Genomic DNA, 19,943 nt, shown 5'->3' with positions numbered 1-19,943 from the left:
CTTTAAGAGTAGAAAATGTCCTAGTTATGATGAATATTCCTGCCATAAATTTTTGATTAAAATGACTCCCCATAAAGCGATTGTATAAGCTGAGACTGTCAAACATTTAACATCTTATGGAAGTTATGTTGATATTGAATTAACAGTATAAAAGTCTGATAAAACAATAATTCCCAGAGATTTTCCCAAAATGTTGTTTGTTTCACAGTAAGTTAAAAGGCAACACTTTCCAGAAATATTTTTCTCCAGTTTTCAAGGTTTGCTTAGTTTTTATCATGAAATTACTAGTATTTGTCTAAAAAAGTTACCCAACTTCACAAGGAAAAGTCGGTGCCTCTAGCCTACTCCTGCTGATTGTTATATGCAGGTGCCACACCTGCTGTGACCCACCTGTCACTCACCTGCAGCACAGACCATGCCTCTCTGACCTTCTCTGCTCCCCTTCTCCTCCTGGCTCAATGGGCTTCAGCCATACTGGCCTCCTCCTGTCTGTCTTTCCCACATGCCCAGTCCACTCCAGCCTTCATGCATTTGCACTTGCTCTTCCTGGTGTTTGAATACCCTTCTCTGGATACCTTTTTGATCATCTTTCTTGGCATCTTTATGTCTTTGCTCCAATGCCCCTTACTCTGAATTTTAGGATTTCAAATTGGCCAATGCTACATCCACTCCACCTACCGGCATTATTCAACCCAACTAACCCGCTCTACACTTACCAGATTCACTTATCATAACACTTTAAATCAGATTCAGAAACACTTTTACCATGAAGCCAATAAAGCTAAAGCTTCAGGACCTCTCATTTGCAAGGTCTCCTTTCAAGATTTTGTACTTAACATCATTTTCATAATTCTGTATTTGTCTTAAGAACAGACCCACAAATTAAAAAACATTCAGATTCTATAACACATGAGTCAACATTTGAATATGTTCAAGCATTTATTATATTATTATATTTAGCTTCTGTTTACTGTCTCCATCTATGACAATATAAGCTCCACAACGGCACAGATTTGTGTCCATTTTGTTCACTGCTATATTCCAGACTATGTAGCAAGTGAGAATTTTCAGTGAAAAAGTACACTGCAATAATAGTCTATTTATATTTACATGTTAAATGCTGAATCTTATTACTGACAGAAACATGTACCTACTTCAAATACTGGTCTACTCCAAGTGTAACTCCATTTCTGACAAAGCTCAAGGTAAAGGGCAAAAGACTGTCAACAGAGCAGGGAATTTGGCCCGGCTGCAGATAGTATCCTGGGGTTTTCTCAGGCATCGTAACTTTGGGAGCATCTAGGAAAAAAAACAAAAACAAAAACAAAAAACTTAAGCAAGAAGGTCACAATGATGTTAAGTACTGCCTCTTAATCCATTCAAAATCTTTATACTTAAATTATTCCAGTAAATCCTCTGCATTCCAATTAACCCAGATCACTAAAAATTACTTTTTCTATCTTTATTTGTTCAAAATTGGTTGATTTCTGGATATCTTTATGAGCCCCTTACTACAGTATTCATTGAATCTAAGACATCATAGTTTTTAAGACATAGTATTTTTTTGTACCACCAAGATAGAAAAAATACTACCAAATAAGCAACAATATATCAATTTTAGAATATGTTTTTATTTCAAAAACTTAAGAACCCACATATCTCAGAATCAAATTGTTTTTCCAAAATAAATGTAAAAAATGACTTTTAGGAATCCATCAGATTTTGTAGCAAATTAGGGGCTAAGCCAAATTTGAATATCGTATATGAGGAAATATTGAGGTTGGTTCTATTCTTACCACTCTACAACTATTCAACAATAGCTATAGAATTGTTCCTGAATTTCCCAAATCACTATCTTATGTATAAATGATAAATTTTCGTCCCTCCACCTAATAGCACTAATAGTACTATACAATTTTATAAACAATTCTGTATCTTTATCAGTCCATTAGCTGGGCGAGGTGGCAGGCGCCTGTAGTCCCAGCTACTCGGGAGGCTGAGGCAGGAGAATGACGTGAACCCGGGAGGCGGGGCTTGCAGTGAGCCGAGATCGCGCCACTGCACTCCAGCCTGGGCAACAGAGCGAGACTCCGTCTCAAAAAAAAAAAAAAAAAAAAAAAAAAAAAAAAAGATTGGGTCAGAGTTCAGTCATGAGCCTTGAAAAATAGCTCAAGTACAGCTAAGCTGAAATGCTACCTGATGCTTCCAAATAATATCTCACCTGTAATCTCCTCTCTACATAGTAGCAAATGTACAATTAACTAGCTAACTAATCAACTAGACAAATAAAGGCAGTGATCACCTGTTGTTTACTATGAACTACCATCTATGGAGCAGAAAGTTTCTGACAATTGTATATAAACATTTAGCCAATTTAGATAGTTTAAGCAAATATATCTGCCTGGCTTTTTTAGGGGAAAAGATAGTACCAGAATTTTCCAGTTCCAGCTCTTACACTGACTAATCAAAATTCTCAGATCTGCAATCAGTGAGACTTAACATGAAACTTTGGATGTGCTATTTAACAGCTAAGAAAAACTGTGTTACCGTACATGTAAATATCCATCAATTTGGTGATGCAGTAATAATATGAAGACATTATTTTTTATTTGATAGTCCGTTATTTACCTATGGGACAACATCACCCTCTTAAACTGTCAATATTTCAATGTTGAATAAAATGATGTCTCACCTGGGACAATACTAGAAAAGGAAACACTTGATACTCTCTGGAAGAGGTAATCATCTTTATCATAGCCTGTTACTTTGAGAAAGAAAGCTTCATTTGGTGGTACAAAGTCAGAAATATTCCATATGCCATAAGGTTTTCGATGTGGGTAATATTTAACAGGAATAGTCTTAAGAGAACTTCCTGAGATACTCAAAAGTTCAAGAAGATCTATTCTAGCTGGAGTGGAAATTCCAGAAGTATTGAGCAGTACATAGGTAGGTATTCCTACAAGAGAAAGATTTTGTTATCATTTACAAGAAACAAGCAATTGAAGTTATATATCAAATAAGTATTTGCATGATAATAATATATGAGTACCATAAGGATGCCTACAATTTCTGGATCAGTTGCAGAATTGTTTCTACATAAAAGACAGTTTATGCATGACCAGAGAAACTTAGGAAATCCTAAGAAATAACTTTTATAGTATTTTAACTATGTTTACATGTAAAAAAAATTAGAATCGTGAAAATTGTTATATGTTTGATCACATGAATACTTTTAAAGATAAATTATTTTGTATCTTTCCAGAAAATGCAGCAATAAAAATAAATGAACAAATTTTAACTGTTACATTATAGTTAAGCTTCTTTTCAGCTAGAAAACTATAAATCTCAATGTATGAATAAAATGAGAGGAGGACAAGGTTTAAAAATCAATAATTTTATCTTTGAAATACAATGATATGTGACGTGTTTAATTTTTCAGCTATATACACACATTTTACCTTGACAATAGGTAATTTATAGATTTCGGTAAGGAAAAAAATCTCAAGATCTGGGTTAGTAATTCTCAGAATTTAGTAAGTGTAAGAATAAACTGAGGTGCTCACTAAAGTACATATTCCTGGGCCCTACCTTCCATGGTTCTAATTCAGGAGATCTGGAGTGGGGTCCAGGAATCTTAATTTTTAACAAGCATCCTGAGTGATTTTTATATCAGTGGTCTTGGGATTACACTTTGAGAAAGTGATTAGGCCAAGAGAACAGTCACATTTAAAGCTATGCTTCTCAATTTTATTGAATACTACAAAATTATAAAATTATAGACAGTCTGAGAAATATTTTTCATTTGGATATCTATTATGTCAATTTAAATAATATGCACATACAAACCTTGCACTGGTCTGCTGACTGTTTTTTTGAAGTCCAGGGTGGGCTTTCGAGAAAAGCCAGCTCGGAAATCAATAGTACTGAGGCCAGTAATGCGAACAGAGTGCCTTCCACTGCTTGAGGTCTGAAAATGTTTAATGACAAACCTGGTCAGCAGTTGATCCAGTATGCTGGTCATATGCAACCCTCGCCAGTATGGGAAACTGCACAATATTTAATTAGGATCGATGTCCAAAAACTGAGGCTCTGATCTGATGTTCTCAACATAACTAGGATTCTATATTTTAAATGCAAGTTTCGTAATACATACCCCATGGGGACAGCTCTAAAAAACAATTCAGTAATATGTTTCATGCCTAATGATAAAAGATGTAAGGGTTTAGTCACTAGTGAATGGGCTGGAAATAAATCTGTAAAAGCTCCATGAGGGTATGGATCTTTGTTTTGGTCACTATTGTTAACATAGTAGATGTTTAGCAAATATTGAAACCTTCTTCCACAAATACATCCAGGTTCAATTCTAGAAAATATTTATTTCTTCTTTGCCTCTAGGACATTGCAGCCAGTGCAAGCAATAGAGCCGACCATTTTCAGATTTTGGCAACCTGGCATCCTCAGCTCAGCAGTGTTCTAGCAAAGGCACTCAGCATTTATTAAAAATGCAAAGTCCTTAGCTCCAGCCTAGATTTACTGAATCTGAATATTAGGTCAGGGCAGTCTAGGAATTTGCATTTCAAAAACCACCTAAGACTTATGAACAAGAGTTCACCATTATTTTATTACATAGATTACCAAGATTCTGTCTCAAAATAAAATGACCACATAATTCCAGCATTTAAGTAGAAGTAGGAGATGGGAGTGAAAGAAAAAATTCACACAACTCTAATGTACCAATTATCAATTTCAAACTCAACACTGAGAAGGCACATATTGAGGTATTATAGCAATGACAGAATGCACTGGAAGTATATATATATAAATTTTAATCTGGTAGACAGCCGTATTTGTGTATATACATTTTAATCTGGTGGACAGCCAGATGAATTCACACACCATGGTTACCAGTGGGCCACTTCCAGAGCTGTGCAAACTACGCAATATTCCCTGAATCACTGCAACTCCTTGTTATTTAGCAATGTGGAGAAGAAGGAAGAGAAGATCTGTCCCTGTTGCTACCATGTTTCTTCCTCATTGAGCAGAATCTCAAGAACTCAAAGGGTAGTAAAATGAAGGGGAGAAAGAAGAAAAAAACCCATCATCATGAAAGCTGTTGCTATATTCTTAGCATAAATGATGCAGCTAGTTACTATGGCTCATTTGCATAAAGGTTACAAAAGATTATATGTGTAAGTGTAGGGATCTTAGTACAACCCTTATCCCATTATTTGTCAATGAATATGTGTTATGAATTCCACATAATAAATTAAAAAAGGAAACTATGGATCATGACTCAATTTTAAATCAGGGATTTCCTGTAGGGTTGTATAAAACTTTGGTAATTCTAATGTCAATTTCTTTAGATAATGTAGAGCTTTAGTGAAGACACTATCACCTACTAATTTCATGTAAGTCAGTCAGAATGCTTGATCTTACGGTGAGTTAATTTTTATTTTTTCACTAACATCATATATTACTGTTAGTTGCCTTGCTCCTCAGAAAGTCCCTTATGATGAAACAGCTGTTGAGGTTACTAAGGGCAAATATGACACGTAATTTGCCAAATGACTGCTATTAAGTGCTAATCATCTGCCAAGTGTTCTGTGCATAAATCAACTAACAAAGGTGGTTTTCAACAATGTGGTACTTAATAGCTGAGTGAAAAAAAACAGAAATTATACAAGTGTTTGAAAATATGTTAACATCTATTACTAAATAACACGTTAAAGTAGATTTGATGAAGAGGGAGCCCCTTATAAATTATATAAAATTAATGTAATAAAAATTAACTTTGATCCTTCAAAGACCACACCAAGTAATAAAGTATGCAAAATAAGAATATAGGTTTACTATTCTCTGAGGAAATATGAAGAGTATTTTGCTCTGCTAAAATATGAAGAGTAATAAATAACAAAATATCTTAATTTCATGTGTCTATACTATACTGTAGACAGTAGGAATGTCTTTGATGAATTTAAGTGTTTGTAAATAAAAGATATCTTCAAGTGAGTCCATTTTTATATGCAATTAATCCAACTCTGGGCTAACCAGGGTAACGGAAACAAAGGACATCCCAAATAAACTAACACTGGTTTAAACATACAATAAAAAGAAAAAAAATGAGCTAATTTAAAGTTTTTAAAACAGCTTAGTATTAAAATAGCCTCTGATGTTAATTCATGCATTTATCATTATTTAATTGTTCTCTGAAAAGAATTCTAATACTTGAACAGTATTTTAGGAACACTAAACACCACATAAATTTCTTCATGAGAAAGTGCCAATAGTTTGATATCTATTAAAGTAAGCTATTGTTTTCACCTCTTTCTTGTCTAAGCTCCCTTTAAAAAATATTAGTGTAATAGAAACAAACAGGTTTTGTGTATGAGGGTATAACCCACCAATAAATGGAAAAGGGAGGAGAAAAAAGCACTAATGTGCACAAAATGCACACTATATATAAAGCTTAATTTTTTATACAAATTCTCACTTTTAATCCTCACAAAAGTCCCTGTGAGAGAGTATTATTACCATCTTCACTTCATGAATAAGAGAGGTTAAGTGACTTGCTCAAAGTAACAGATACAGCAGGTGGCAAAGCTGGAGTCTGAACTCGGTGAAGCTCCAGAAACCAAACTCTACAGCTACCCCACGCGTTTCTCATGATGATCTCAATGAATTTAATTATGCTGGTTTGAGGGTAAATGTTGAAATATGCTGAACTGCTTTACACAATAGGAGGAGAGTTATATGGAACTTCTGGGACTATCCAGAGGAAAGAAGCAGAGAAATGTACTGGGGAGGCAAGGGGGTGGTGGCCAAGGAAAGAGCAGGAAAAGCACAAGGTGCTTTCTGACATAGCCCCCAAATCTACGAGTAAATCTACCAAATTCACAGAATGCTTGCTATTGCTAGATTTCTTGTGATATTTTGAAGGGGCTGAGTTTTGCCCTGCATCAAAGTACAAAAAGGTATAATCAACACAAATAATCAGAAGGCAATGAGAACATAAGCAAGAAAGCTTTTAGGAAACTGCAGGAGTGCTGGGAGAAGACTTTGGAGTCTCATGAGTTATGAACCTGATGGGGTTAGAGGAGAACCAAATGACACCAAGGTCTTGGAGGGGCAAAGAAAATTAAGCTAATTCTGTAACTGAGTCAAGCAAAGAGGAGGTCCAGCCATATTTCTTTCCCTTCCCTTCTCTTCCAAATTATGTTAGCCATTTTAATAAATTTTTTATAAATGTAATAAAATTATATATATATATATATGTCCTAAAATTAGTGAGGCCAAAATTACTATCTTAATGTCTTTCTATTTGGTCTTTTTTTATCATCTAGATTCAACCTGTGGGTTATATTAAAATTAGAATATGGCTACAAAAAGCACCTTTCCACCACAGAATGTCTTGAAGTATTACTCCTGCAGAGTTACCCTAACCTCATGGCTTCTGTAGATAAGAAGAGGGAAATCTAGCAGCAGCATTCAGTCTCAGAGAATAACAGGAAACTTTCTAGATATTAGATGTTGAACAGGATTTATCTGAGCTAGGAAGAGTTGTGTTTCAAAGTCAATTTATTCATAAAATTTCTAAACGTACATAATGAGCCACGTTACTCCTCTGAGTGAGTAGTATCACGTTCATTAAGTTGTGAAGGGGTCTGAGTCAGGAATACACAGGCTGCTGCAGTGTGAGCAGATGTGAGGTAAGGTCACGGTTTGGCAAAGATGAGGTTATACTAGTGATACGTTAAAATTAGGTATCAGCTTGATTGGATTGAAGGATACCTAGATAGCTGGTAAAGTATTCCTTCTGGGTGCATCTGTGAGGGTGTTGCCAAAGGAGACTGATATTTGAGTCAGTGAACTGGAGGAGGAAGACCCCCCTCAAGGTGGGTGGGCACTATCTAGCTGGCTGCCAGCACGGTTAGAACAAAGCAGGTGGAAGAAGGTGGGATAAGCTGGCTTGCTGAGTCTTCTGGATTTCATCTTTCTCCCATGATGGATGCTTTCTTCCATTCCTCCTGCCCTTGGACAACAGACTCCAGGTTCTTCGGCCTTTGGACTCTTGGACTTACACCAGTGCTTTGCCAGGGGCTCTCGGGCCTTTGGCCACAGACTCAAGGCTTCACTGTCGGCTTCTCTGCTTTTGAGGGTTTTGGACTTGGACTGAGTCACTACCGGCTTCTTTCTTCCCCAGCTTGCAGATGGCCTATTGTGGGACTTTGACTTGAGATTGTGTGAGCCAATTCTTCCTAATAAACTCCCTTTCATATATGTATATATCCTATTATTTCTGTCCTCTGGAGAACCCTAATACAGAGATAATATATTGGTATCCTAAAGTTGTAAATAGGTAGCCTTGACCTACAATGCAGTAAGGGAAAAGAAGGAGCAGAGTGAACCAGAGTCTAGGTTTCTCAATTGGAGTGAGACTGCCAAGAATGAAGGAGCAGGACAGGCTGAAGGACAATTGAACAAGCACCATGGAGAGCTCCAGCGGAAAATTACTTGCTCCTCTGAGATCTCAGCTTAGATCTTCCTGGTCAGCTCTACTGCAGATGGATTTACTTCTTAGTTTAAAGGCGAAGAAGGCCTGTTAAATGCCTGCCTACATTGAAAGTCCCTTCAAGGCAGTAACTATTTCATATTCATCACCCACAGAATGTCACTCAGCTGGCACGTGATAAGTGTAGGTTTTGTAGGTTTAATAAATGACATGAAAGCCATCCACATGCCTAGTGTTGATGTTTTTTCTTAGATATTCCTCAGACCAGCTAATGCTATACTCATCAAGAATTCACTAAATGTTTCTAGATGCATTATGCTAAGTATGTTCACACGTTATCTCTTAAAACCCTGTTATGTCCAAAGATAATTTTATGGCACTACAAAGAAACAGAGGTTCAAAAAAATGATATTTACCTAGGTGTAGACAGCAACTTAAATGGCAATTATTCCAAGTTCAACGCCTTTCTCAGGTACCTAACTCTGTGCATGGTATTTTAGAATAACATAATTTCTAGGTAGATTTGCACCCTATGGCATAGAAAACAATAATATTCTCCAACTATTTCTTTGCCATTCTATGTTTCTGAGTACCTTTTCAGTTAGGAAAAGTCAGGTCAGTGGGGTGCTAGTAAATTCCCCTCTAACAAAAAAAACCCTAATTTTTGGCATTTTTCAATTTCTGTGGTGTAAATATTCCCATCATAGCTGATTCCTAGCTCCCAACATGATGTTGCTGAACACAGAGCTAGGAAGAGAAATGTATCATTGACTCTCCATGAGTCATTATGAGCTAGCTCTAGTATACCACTAGGCCATGATAACAGCTTGCCTACTGGGTAATAAGGGAGTGAAATGTGTCACTTCTGGGATGAGACAGAAGTAACACAAATTTCTTTTTATTTATTCAATGCCACATCCTCCAGGTTTTTTCCTCATTAAGTGACTGAAGATGCTGCATGTTCTAAATTATGGCAGAGCCTCCATCAGCTTGGGTTCCTGAGTGACTGTGAAGCAGAATACTCTACCAGACCCCATGGAACACAGAACATTAGCGAGGAATTAACTTTCTTGTATTAAGCCAGGGAGAATTCCTCCTAGCACTAAATATGAAACCTTACCTTTTATAAATTGAATTAAAATTTGACTGATAGAGATGGTTTTTCTCTCTCCAACAGAGTTTCAATGTTTTATAAAATAGTAAATGTGCCCAAAGTAAGACAAACACAAAAACTAAAGAAAAATTCAGTGTATATGCATTAAAAGAAAGTAAAGATACAATGTATGATTTACATGTATTCAAGAGAACAACTAATTAACCTGTGTCAGAATTCATGCGTCAACATTTTTAGTAACAACTAATTCATGTGTCAGAAACTGCTGAAGCACTTTACCAATATCTCATTTAACCATGACAATATTGGGTAGCCACTATTTTCCCCCACTTTCCTCAGACTTAGAGAGGTTAAGTAATTTCTCCATGAACAAAAAGACTTTAAGTAATGAATCTTGAATTCAAATAGATGTCGACCTCTTTTCAAAGTATTTGCTCTTAAGTTTTGAATTCTTTACAAATTAAAGAATAGATGGTTTCAATAAAATATTTATTAAGAACCTACTGTGAGCTAGGCATTGTGTCAAAGACACAATCATAGAAGCTAGATTTAAATACCATTATTTTGTTGGGCATTATGCATTTGGAGAAATGTGTGATTAGGAAATGTATCCAAAACATAAATTCTACTTAAATACACACACACACACACACATATGCACACACGCATATGCACACACATATACATAAAAATGTGCATGTGTACCTAAGTGTACACATGTCTTTTTTATAAAGGAAGCATTCTATTTGGTTGACAGTCCGATATTGGAAGGCCAAAAAACTGGAAAATTTTCCAGGAAAAATCTATTATCAAACATGCCACTGACCCAAAACATTAATGCTACACCTAATCTATTTACTTAACACACCTTGTATAGACTACAGGCTTATTCATAAGAGTCACCAGGAAAGACTAATAGGAGGCCAGCATAATAATCTTCATGTGTGGTCCTTTTAGACTCAAGGTTAATTTAATTATGATTCCTAAACAAGCTTATGCCACTTGAGTATGATTTTTAAAATATCCTTACCCAGTAGAAAAGGCATTAGTAGGCTCTGGCTACCAACATAACTATCCAAAACCAAAATATTTCTACTAGTCTCAGAATCCCAGTATAATCATGCGGTTGGGTACACACCCTTCTGTACTTGGGAGATTATCTAAAGACAGTTTATCCAAATGTACTTAATAGAAACATACCCCAGGGGATATGTTAAATTAAATGATCACACTGATAATCCTAGACTAATATAAACATTTGTACCACCTAAACCCATTGGGTGCTGACAATTATTTAATGTCTTTGCAGGGAGTTTCCTTTAAAAAGCAGAGGACAAAATTTGGCTCAAGAGTTTCTGTGGTTACATTCAAATACTCTATATTAGTTGCTGAATGGAAAAATCATATTGCTTCTCAGAAATAAGATCCATGATCTGTAGCTTTCCTACAAATGGAAATTTAGGAGCATAAAACAATCTTCTCTTCTGTTTTTAATAAAACTTTATGTTATTTCCAGTTACTTCTTTTTAACATGCTTTACCTGCATCAGAGGAAACCTAAAATATTTGAGTACTTATGTGAATTATACAAATGAGTTGACTCTTTATCTCTGCTTAGTGAAAGTGCCCTAAGATGGAACAGTAAAGTACTTACCAGAAAAATCACAGAAGAAAAGAAACTGCCACTCTCTTATCATTTTAAATCGTAAACGTATTAGTGTTCCATGCTAGCACCTCCACTACAGGCTAAGTAAACCAGTTCTTCTGCCTGCTTCCCTGGATATCCTCAGAATAAATGTATTAATTTTTATTCATAAATATTTATATAGTTCTTTCTCAGGCACTGTGGCATATACTAGTGGCAAAATCTGGTCTATAGAAAAAGAGACAGAGAAAATATGTACAGAAATAAAAATGATATAAGGGAGAAATTAATCCAAAAGGGAAGTGCAGAAAAATTTAATAGAAAGCCAGAGAGAAAAGAACATTTTAGGGAAAAAAAAATCTGACAAAGTTTGATGAAAGTTTTGTCATTTGAGCTGAACTTTGTGGGATAGTTATAAGTCAGAATGCAAGAAAAGGCATTATAAGGGGAAGGAACAGCTTGAAAGAAAGCATGGGGTAAGAGAATGTGGTGGGGGGAGAGAGACAGTACAAAATTATATTTGACAAAAATGTAAAGACAAGTGATAGAAGATAACTAGAAAGATTGGCTTGAGGCTCAATTGGGTGGTCCTTGAGCCTCAAGGTAAAGTTAAGTAATAGATAGATCGTTCTCCATATTTGGGATAAAAACTGTTATGTGAAACATTCAAAAAGCCAATATTAATTTCAGTGATAGAGCAGACCTTTTCCAGATAGTCCAGTGCATGGGAGATAGCACCAGGGAAACACTATCTAATATCAGACATTTCTCATCTTGAGAAAGTGCACATGTAAAACATTTATCATTCATTAGACATCCAAAAGGGAAATCCAAAGTCAACAGCAATATTTTATGTCATCAGATTCAGTTCAATTTCCTTTGTAACAACCTGATACATTCTTTTGGTATTTCATATAGAAGCAAAATAAGTTTGTTATTTTTAAGTTTCATTATAATGCTTATTCTTTGTTTAGTTGTTGTTAGCACTAATCCTACACTAGAAATGCTGTAAATCTGAGCTGGAGGCTCTTTTGGTGAAGGCTAGATAAACATTTAAGATAAAATAATAATAGATACTGTGTCTTTTTATTGTTCCCTTAATTATAGGAGACTGAGCTTAGAGACTTGTCTAAACAGAGTTCTCATCACCTCATCACCTGATCAAAGGCTCTGCTCACTCATAGAACTAATCCTCATTACTTCTCTGTTCTAATTATCAATTAAAATGTGCGTAATGTCCATTAAGTAAGTAGCACAGAACATGGCCAAGAGCAGTCAGTAAATGTTTATTGAATGCATGACTGAATGAATATTTGTGTGAGGCACAAGGTAAAATAACAGTCATGCAATATCCCTCCTCTGGGCAAGAGTTTTACTAGAGGAAATACCACTGGTACCAGTCCAAATCACCTGGAAATAGGTACAAGTACTGCACAATAAATTGCTACTAACATGGAAGAATGGCCTCACGTGCACGTATTTCACAGTCAATAATGGACTACTTAAGGTCAATATTCAGAAAGCAAGAAAAAATTACTCCAGTGGACTTGCTAGCTCAAGACACCGCTGGCTAAGTCATGCTTAAATTAAAGTATTTGAGGGATGAAGAGACTCGACACTTCTTCTAATTCCTTCCTACTGTGGTCACAAAAAGTCAGACTCAATGCTAGTGATATTTTTGGCAAGTTAGTCAAAATAACCATTACATAAAATTTGGCCACATTTATTTAAAATATTGTAGCAGCAAAACAACTCGTCAATCTAATACACTCAATAAATACCAGGCATTATGTGCAAGGAACTGGGTGGAAAAAAAACAGGCAGGAAGGGCCATTTCTGGCCCATTCATTAAGAAGTTACCAGATTTTCTTTCACATGCCTTTTCACCTATGCCCTTTTATTATCCACCTTGAAATAATCTACACAAGAGTGTCTATTTTTCCTACAGGGCTTAGAGTTCTGAGAATAAAAAACTAGTATCTTAGGATTTGAATGGAGTTACAAGGTAAACATTCATTCTTTAAACTGGGGACATTAATGGAGTTATTCTTTAAAAAAAAAACTGACTGGCATGAAAAATGGCTCTTTGAATTTCTACGGTATATCAGCTCCACATATTTTCACAGCAGCTCTATAATTTGAAGTATGATCCCATTAATTCCATTTTTTATGTAAGGAAACAGACAATGAAAGAGTAAACAATGTACAGGATATCTTCATTTGAGTTCTCCCAGAAAGATTCTAGAGCAAGTTGTTTATTTGACAGCTGGAAGGAATGCTAATAGGAAGAGAGGAGATAATACAGGAATGGGAAGAGGCCCACAAAGGGTGTGTTTTAAGCCTGTTCCCACAGTGGACACCTGGAGTGTGTTCCTTCAGGTGCTAATAGCTGCTCCCGAGGGGTGTTAATTCCTCAGCCGAACAACCTTTTCCTGTTCTAGGAAAAAACCTCCAAGACACAGAAATGCAGATACTAGATTGGGAAGTACACTGAAAAGCCTGAGAAATATGGGCAAGTCACTCAGGGCATCTGCCACAGTGGGACACACACAAAATCTGCAGCAGAACTAGATCTCCGATTTATGGTATCTTGAATTTTGAGTGTATATTTTTTCCTCCGTACTGCCAAAATACAATGCTTTCTTAGAGGAAATATATACCACTTAAGATAAGTTTAGGATATAAATACCACGTTGTGCTAAAGAAGAAAATGAATAGAAATCCACCAAATAAAAAAAAGCCAACACAGCACTTGAATGCTTGCTTTGAAACAGAAATGATACTATTTCAGGTGTATCATATTAATTTAATTCTCAGCCCAATTCTGTAAAGTAAAGGACAGTGACTATCATCTCCACATGACAGAGAAGGAAAGCCATGCACAGAGAAGTTCTGCTCCCCAGGCAGTGCAGCCGTTAAGGCGTGGTGTTAAGATTCAAACCCAGGCAGTTTCAAAACAGAGCCTATGGCTCTAACCGTTATTCTGTGTTGGCTCCATCTCTGATTATTTTGTAAGCATGAAGTAGATAATAAAATAAATCTACAGATTTGATGATAGGAAAACTATCTGAGAATTGTAAGTGTATCGTGTGGCAATGATGACATTCATGGTCCTCAAACTGAAAACTACCAAATTCATGTGATCAAGACACCTACAAACACCTATGTACGTTGCTTTTTATTACAAGCACTCTCCATGATAGCAAGAGTGTATGTTTAAAAAAACCATTGTGTATACTTCATGAAAAATGCCAACTTCAAAATAAAACAATAAACAAACTTTGTGAAACAACCGTACCTTCACTGTCCACATTCCAGCCTCTGGCTCTTTCACATTCACTACTTTGGCAGAGTTATGGATATTTAATAGCTCATGCAGGCCAAATCCCTTTTTTATCAGCTTCCCTGAAAGACAGAACATAAAGGTAACAAGCACAATCCTTCTCTCAGCTATGTATATTAGCTAATTTAACACTACATAAAACTAAGAGCATGATCAAATTTCAAATAACACTGGCTCATTTTTTACCAAAGTGTGCTGCAAACTAACCCAAAGAGTCTTTATTTTCTGTTCTGTGGCTAAAATAAAACACATTCAATTTCCAGTATCTTATGACCTGATTGACACTTATACCCATAGCTCAAAACATTATTTTATTTATTTCTAAAATATACTTAATTTTAAGGTGTCCAGGCATTGGAAACCTTATGAAATAATGGATTACTATTTGTTATGCTGACTTGATCATCAAATGAGAATAACAATTAGCAGACTGTAATCATATTTCCGAAGCCAGCCTAGATAGTAATTACTATGGCTACCAAAAATGTTATGCAGAGTCACTAGAGAGATTTAGATTAAATAGATGGAAAACACAGCAAACCAGAATAAATGTCGTTCTAGAGAGCACTCAAAGTATTACTAACATGAGAGCCCTGGGCATATCTTTACACAAAGTGTAAAACCTTAACCGGTTTCCCATGAAGCACAGGAGAAGGCTTTTATCTGTCATAGGAATAATTAAAAGAGGCAGTGCAATGAAGTAGCATGATACCATTGCCTACTGACCTGACATTTATCTAAAGTGTCTAATAGTTGGAACTTAGAAAAGAGGAAAAGCAAATTTGGCATTAAGCCACAGTTCAGTTTTTCACTTAACTCTTGACTTTCCCATGGACTACTTCTCCAGTTATATAAAGAAATAAGTTAGGCCAGGCACGGTGGCTCACGCCTGTAATCCCAACACTTTGGGAGGCCGAGGTGGGCAGATCACAAGGTCAGAAGTTCAAAACCAGCCTGACCAACATGGTGAAACCCTGTCTCTACTAAAAATACAAAAATTAGCCAGGCGTGGTGGTGCGCACCTGTAATCCCTGCTACTCAGGAGGCTGAGGCAGGAGAATCGTTTGAACCCAGGAGGGAGAGGTTGCAATGAGCTGAGGTCATGCTACTGCACTTCAGCCTGGGTGACAGAGCAAGACTCCATGTCAAAAAAAAAAAAAAAAGAAGGAAGAAAGAAATAAGTTATAAGCATCCTATGTTTGAATCAAAAGTTTTACAATCATTGTATGCCCAGTGACTTTTTAAAGTAGTAGAAACATAATGCAATGGGTACAGGTACTCTGAGTCTCCAGGTAGTAGAAAACACAAGTCTTTCCTTGGTAACATGGATGTTATTGCAGTAGAATGCTACTTCAACAGGAAAATCCATTTATAAGCTCAAACTTGTATAAGTCTTGAGAAAGACGTTGTATTTGTCTTGTAAATTTCAATGTGTTTGTGGCCTCTGAGAACAATTTCATAGGTTGTTTTCTTTTGGAAATTAGTTATTTAAGTAAGAAAACCAGTTATCCCCTTCCCTATTTATAAATATAGAGAAAAAAATGCAACTAAAGCCACAGTGGAAATATAACTATTTTGCAAATATTAGGTAAAAAATATTTCTAAATGAAAATGTTAAGAAACGATTAAAGATTTCTGTCTTTACTAGATTGTTATTTGATGTAAATCTTATTGTAGTTATCAACTAGCAATGGTACCAAACAAATCATATGGTTATAAAATATACTTAAGAGGCAAAGTGAATTATTAAAAGTTCCCTTTACTAAGAATATAAATTTGGTTTTTAACAAATATCTTCTGTAAAATTAAAATTTATCAAGAAAATGATAGAGTGGAAAATTAGTTATTTTAAGAGTTACTTGGTGTGAGCCATTTAAAAATAATGTAAAATACTGAATTTGACAGAGTAAGTTACTGTAAAATATCTCCTCATATAAAGTTTCAGGTTTTATTTAAATATTTTTATTTTGGATCATTTAAATATAATTAGTATACTACATCTGACCTCTTTAAATACGAGAAGTTTTAACTTTTTGCATCTCATGTTAATTCAACAATAGTTAGCACTTTCAAAATGTTACATTTTTTAAACACCTTCCTTAGCCACTTCTGAATTTATTGAATTTATTCATGAAGTTGGCATTAACTTGACAAAAACAAGTGTGTGAAAAGTATTTTACCCTCTATGTATTTTGTATTTTATTATGTGATGTTTGATATATCTCACCTAAAGGATTGCGAATTTCAATCATTGGAGAAGGCCCACTCAAAGACACAGTGACCTCTTTCAGGCTGGGATCAAAAGGAATTCTCCAAGTATTTACAGCCTGTTCCAAATGATCTGTGGATAAAAGGTGAACTTTGGAGGCCTGTACTGCTTCTTCTACCCATTTTAATACCTATAAGAGAGAAAGAGAAGTGTAAGTGATATCAGAAAACATTCGCAGTTTTATATCATTGCTGTTTCAGGTCCTTTGGGTGATCAAATGACTCCGGCACATCCTGGACTGGTGTGAAATTTATTTCGGTCATTACTGAAGATAGGACTCTTTCTAATTCTGGTTAGTGTACATTCAAAACAAAATGCTGGTTTAACCCATGTTCAAATTTCAAGTTTTCTATCTTGAATAATACATTTAAAATGAGACTATAGTGTACAAAACCAGTGAGGGGAGACATGCAGAGATATTATTGACAGTTCGCTGTCTCAAGAGATAAGAACTTATTTAAAAACATAATAGTGCTAACATGTGCAATCCCTTCTTCTTCCATTCTTTCTTTCCAGATTTTATTCTTCCAGATGCAATTTGTAAAAGAAACCCACTTAGCAAATTATCAAATCCAATTTCAGTAAATGGGGCATATTAATTATTGTATTATACTATATTATAATTATATATAGTATATTATAATATATTACAGCATACTAATTATAGAAAAATAATTGCAATGTCACTAAAAGAGTCATTTTTATAATAAAGTGAATAAGTAACAATATAATGGGAAAAGCATTGCATTAAAGAGAATAGAAAAATATTTCAGGTTAGAATTTAATACCAAGTAGTGTATTCTTGAAAAATAGTCTTTAAAAATCATAAAGAAATTGGGTTTTAAAAAGGTGTTAATGCCTCATTGTGAACAAGAAAAACTTTGAATCCATAGAAAGTTTCTGCACTAACAAAGATAATTTCCCTTTAGACAAATGGTGCATGTCTGGGCAGGTACTCCTTGGATGATCTTATAATTTTAGTCATGATAACCTTTGATCACCTCATCTTTCTCTGGTTTACGTATCTTTTAAGACTGCATATCACCATGAAAATTTTCTTTTGTAATGAGGCATAAGACACTGAACAGAGCTGGATATTAAGCTATAGTCAAGCTATTAATGATAAACAAAAACATTTTTTGAAATTTAGGTGTAAGTGGTCACATTTCAAGTAACCAAGCAATAAATACTGTGCAACATTTTTATTTTCTGTGAAAAGTATCCCTTTTTTTTTTCTGTTTCTTTCCCCCTAAGGATAAGGGAAGCATCTAAGACTTATTATCACATAACAATATGAAACAATCACATTTATCATAAAATAAATGTTTTTGTTCAAGATGGTTTTCCAGGTACTAAGTAATGATGACCACACTTTCAGTCATTAGGACTCAGATTTACTGAATGTTTTTGCATTTCTTATTTTTTTTTCATAAAAATTCCTGTCCTTGCTCCAGTATCAAAAACCATATCTCCTACTTCTTTGTGCATCCAAAACAAAGTGTTTTGCTCTACACATAATAAAGGTGGGTATATACTAATGTCAATGAAATTGGTCATAATGGTAATAATACTGATGTTCTTAATAAATAAAAGAAATTCATAATACAAGAAATGCTGTTGAAAAAATGTATGTAAAATGCCCTCACAGTACTTCCACATGGTAATGCCATCACAGTATTTTCACAGTCCACATACTTACACGATCTTAGTTTTCTCCCTCCCCAGCTAAATTCCCTTCTCTTCCCCTAGTTGTTTCAGCCATTGCTGAAGTGTTTCAGCAATGGCTTCACAGGCAAAGTAAAGTAATCTGACTATGAAAGACAGAAATGTTTTCTGTAAATAAAAAAAGAGGCAAATTCAAACCAGACAGAAGAGAGAATCTGAGCAAGAACACTGAGACAGAGACCGAAGTACTCCAAATATGTTGAGAACATGAGTGACTACATCTGGCTGCAGTGAAGTGCTCAGATAAAAAAGAAGAAGATGAGGCTGGAAGCCTGTGTCAGGACCAGACAATGGATGGTCATAAAGTCAGGCTATGACATTTGGATTTCATCCTAGAGATCCCAATGAAAATGACTAAAGGGCTTCAAGCAGAGGAGTGACACACTGAAATGATGTTTTACAAAGAAAAATTTGTAGTGTCATCACGGATGAATTGAGCAAAAAAACAAAATTTAATACAACTAATTGCCCCATAAATCAAATGATGTATTTCCTCAAAATTTAACCTTACAAAGCACATGGAATTTTACATATGAAATAAAACATATTTGTTTAAAGAAGCAGATGCCATTTTTGAAAAATGGGTTCTTAATGATCTATCATGCTTGAAGAGAAGGATATGGATCACTCGGCTTATCAAATCCGTCCATATGACTACAGACCAGACTGACTGTAACTAACATTGACCATATATAGAACACATACTTTAATAATCAGAGTGTTGACATTTTTATGTCAACATAAAACATGGCTGTAAGGGTCTGCCTAACTAAAAAAAAAAAAAAAAAAATAGAAAGGATTGTTGTTGGGCCTCAGAAAGCATTTTATAAATTTAACTGATAATAAATAATTTTGAGGATAATGCCTGATATGGAGACTGAAGAGGGCAAAGGAGAGAAAGTAAACAAATGGACAGAATATCTGTTTTAAGGACAACACACATAATCTGGTCATAAATGATTCTCAATAGAAAAGAAGAAAAAAAAACATTAGAAAACAAGTACCAGCAAGAATTGTGAGATGTTTCAAGTTTAATAATGAAATGAAATGGCATTAATAAAGATGGAAGTCATTTTTTACATACATCCTTCATTAAATTTATAGTCTATGTCTGGGTGGCTCTACAAATATATCTTTCCTTCAAACCCAATGCAGAGAGGTTATGATATATTGTTGGAAAGCTATCTTGTTGTCTGTTAGTTACACATGGAAGTCTCCAAGTCTTGAGTATTCATAGGAAAATGGAAGTCTTCCTAATTTGGTTGCATTTTTGTGAAGCAAGTGTGTTCAAATGGTACAGAATATAAGTGGGCTTTGGTTTACTCTTAATACTGCTTCC

General features: G+C 35.1%; 1 protein-coding gene across 4 annotated transcripts in view, besides 1 other annotated feature; it reads right to left on the bottom strand.

Moving 5' to 3' along the window:
* Positions 1–19,943, bottom strand: part of HMCN1 (hemicentin 1) — a 456,559-nt gene that overhangs the window by 264,604 nt on the left and 172,012 nt on the right. For all 4 annotated transcript variants that reach the window (NM_031935.3, XM_011510038.4, XM_024450118.2 and 1 more), the window contains exons 5-9: positions 16,838–17,009; positions 14,566–14,672; positions 3,847–3,967; positions 2,693–2,956; positions 1,155–1,299 (exon numbers count right to left, since the gene is read on the bottom strand). In NM_031935.3, coding sequence (NP_114141.2) covers positions 1,155–1,299; positions 2,693–2,956; positions 3,847–3,967; positions 14,566–14,672; positions 16,838–17,009 — 809 coding nt within the window. The remainder of the gene's footprint in view (positions 1–1,154; positions 1,300–2,692; positions 2,957–3,846; positions 3,968–14,565; positions 14,673–16,837; positions 17,010–19,943) is intronic.
* Positions 8,395–8,689: a silencer, noted in NCBI's record as "tiled region #5860; HepG2 Repressive non-DNase unmatched - State 24:Quies, and K562 Repressive DNase matched - State 24:Quies". NCBI's record gives its function as "represses a minimal TATA promoter and a strong SV40 promoter by Sharpr-MPRA in HepG2 and K562 cells {active_cell/tissue: HepG2 | K562}" and the evidence as "EXISTENCE:reporter gene assay evidence [ECO:0000049][PMID:27701403]".

Source organism: Homo sapiens, chromosome 1 (assembly GCF_000001405.40).
Source record: "Homo sapiens chromosome 1, GRCh38.p14 Primary Assembly".
NCBI lineage: Eukaryota > Metazoa > Chordata > Mammalia > Primates > Hominidae > Homo > Homo sapiens.
This window is presented reverse-complemented; position numbering and strand designations above follow the sequence as displayed.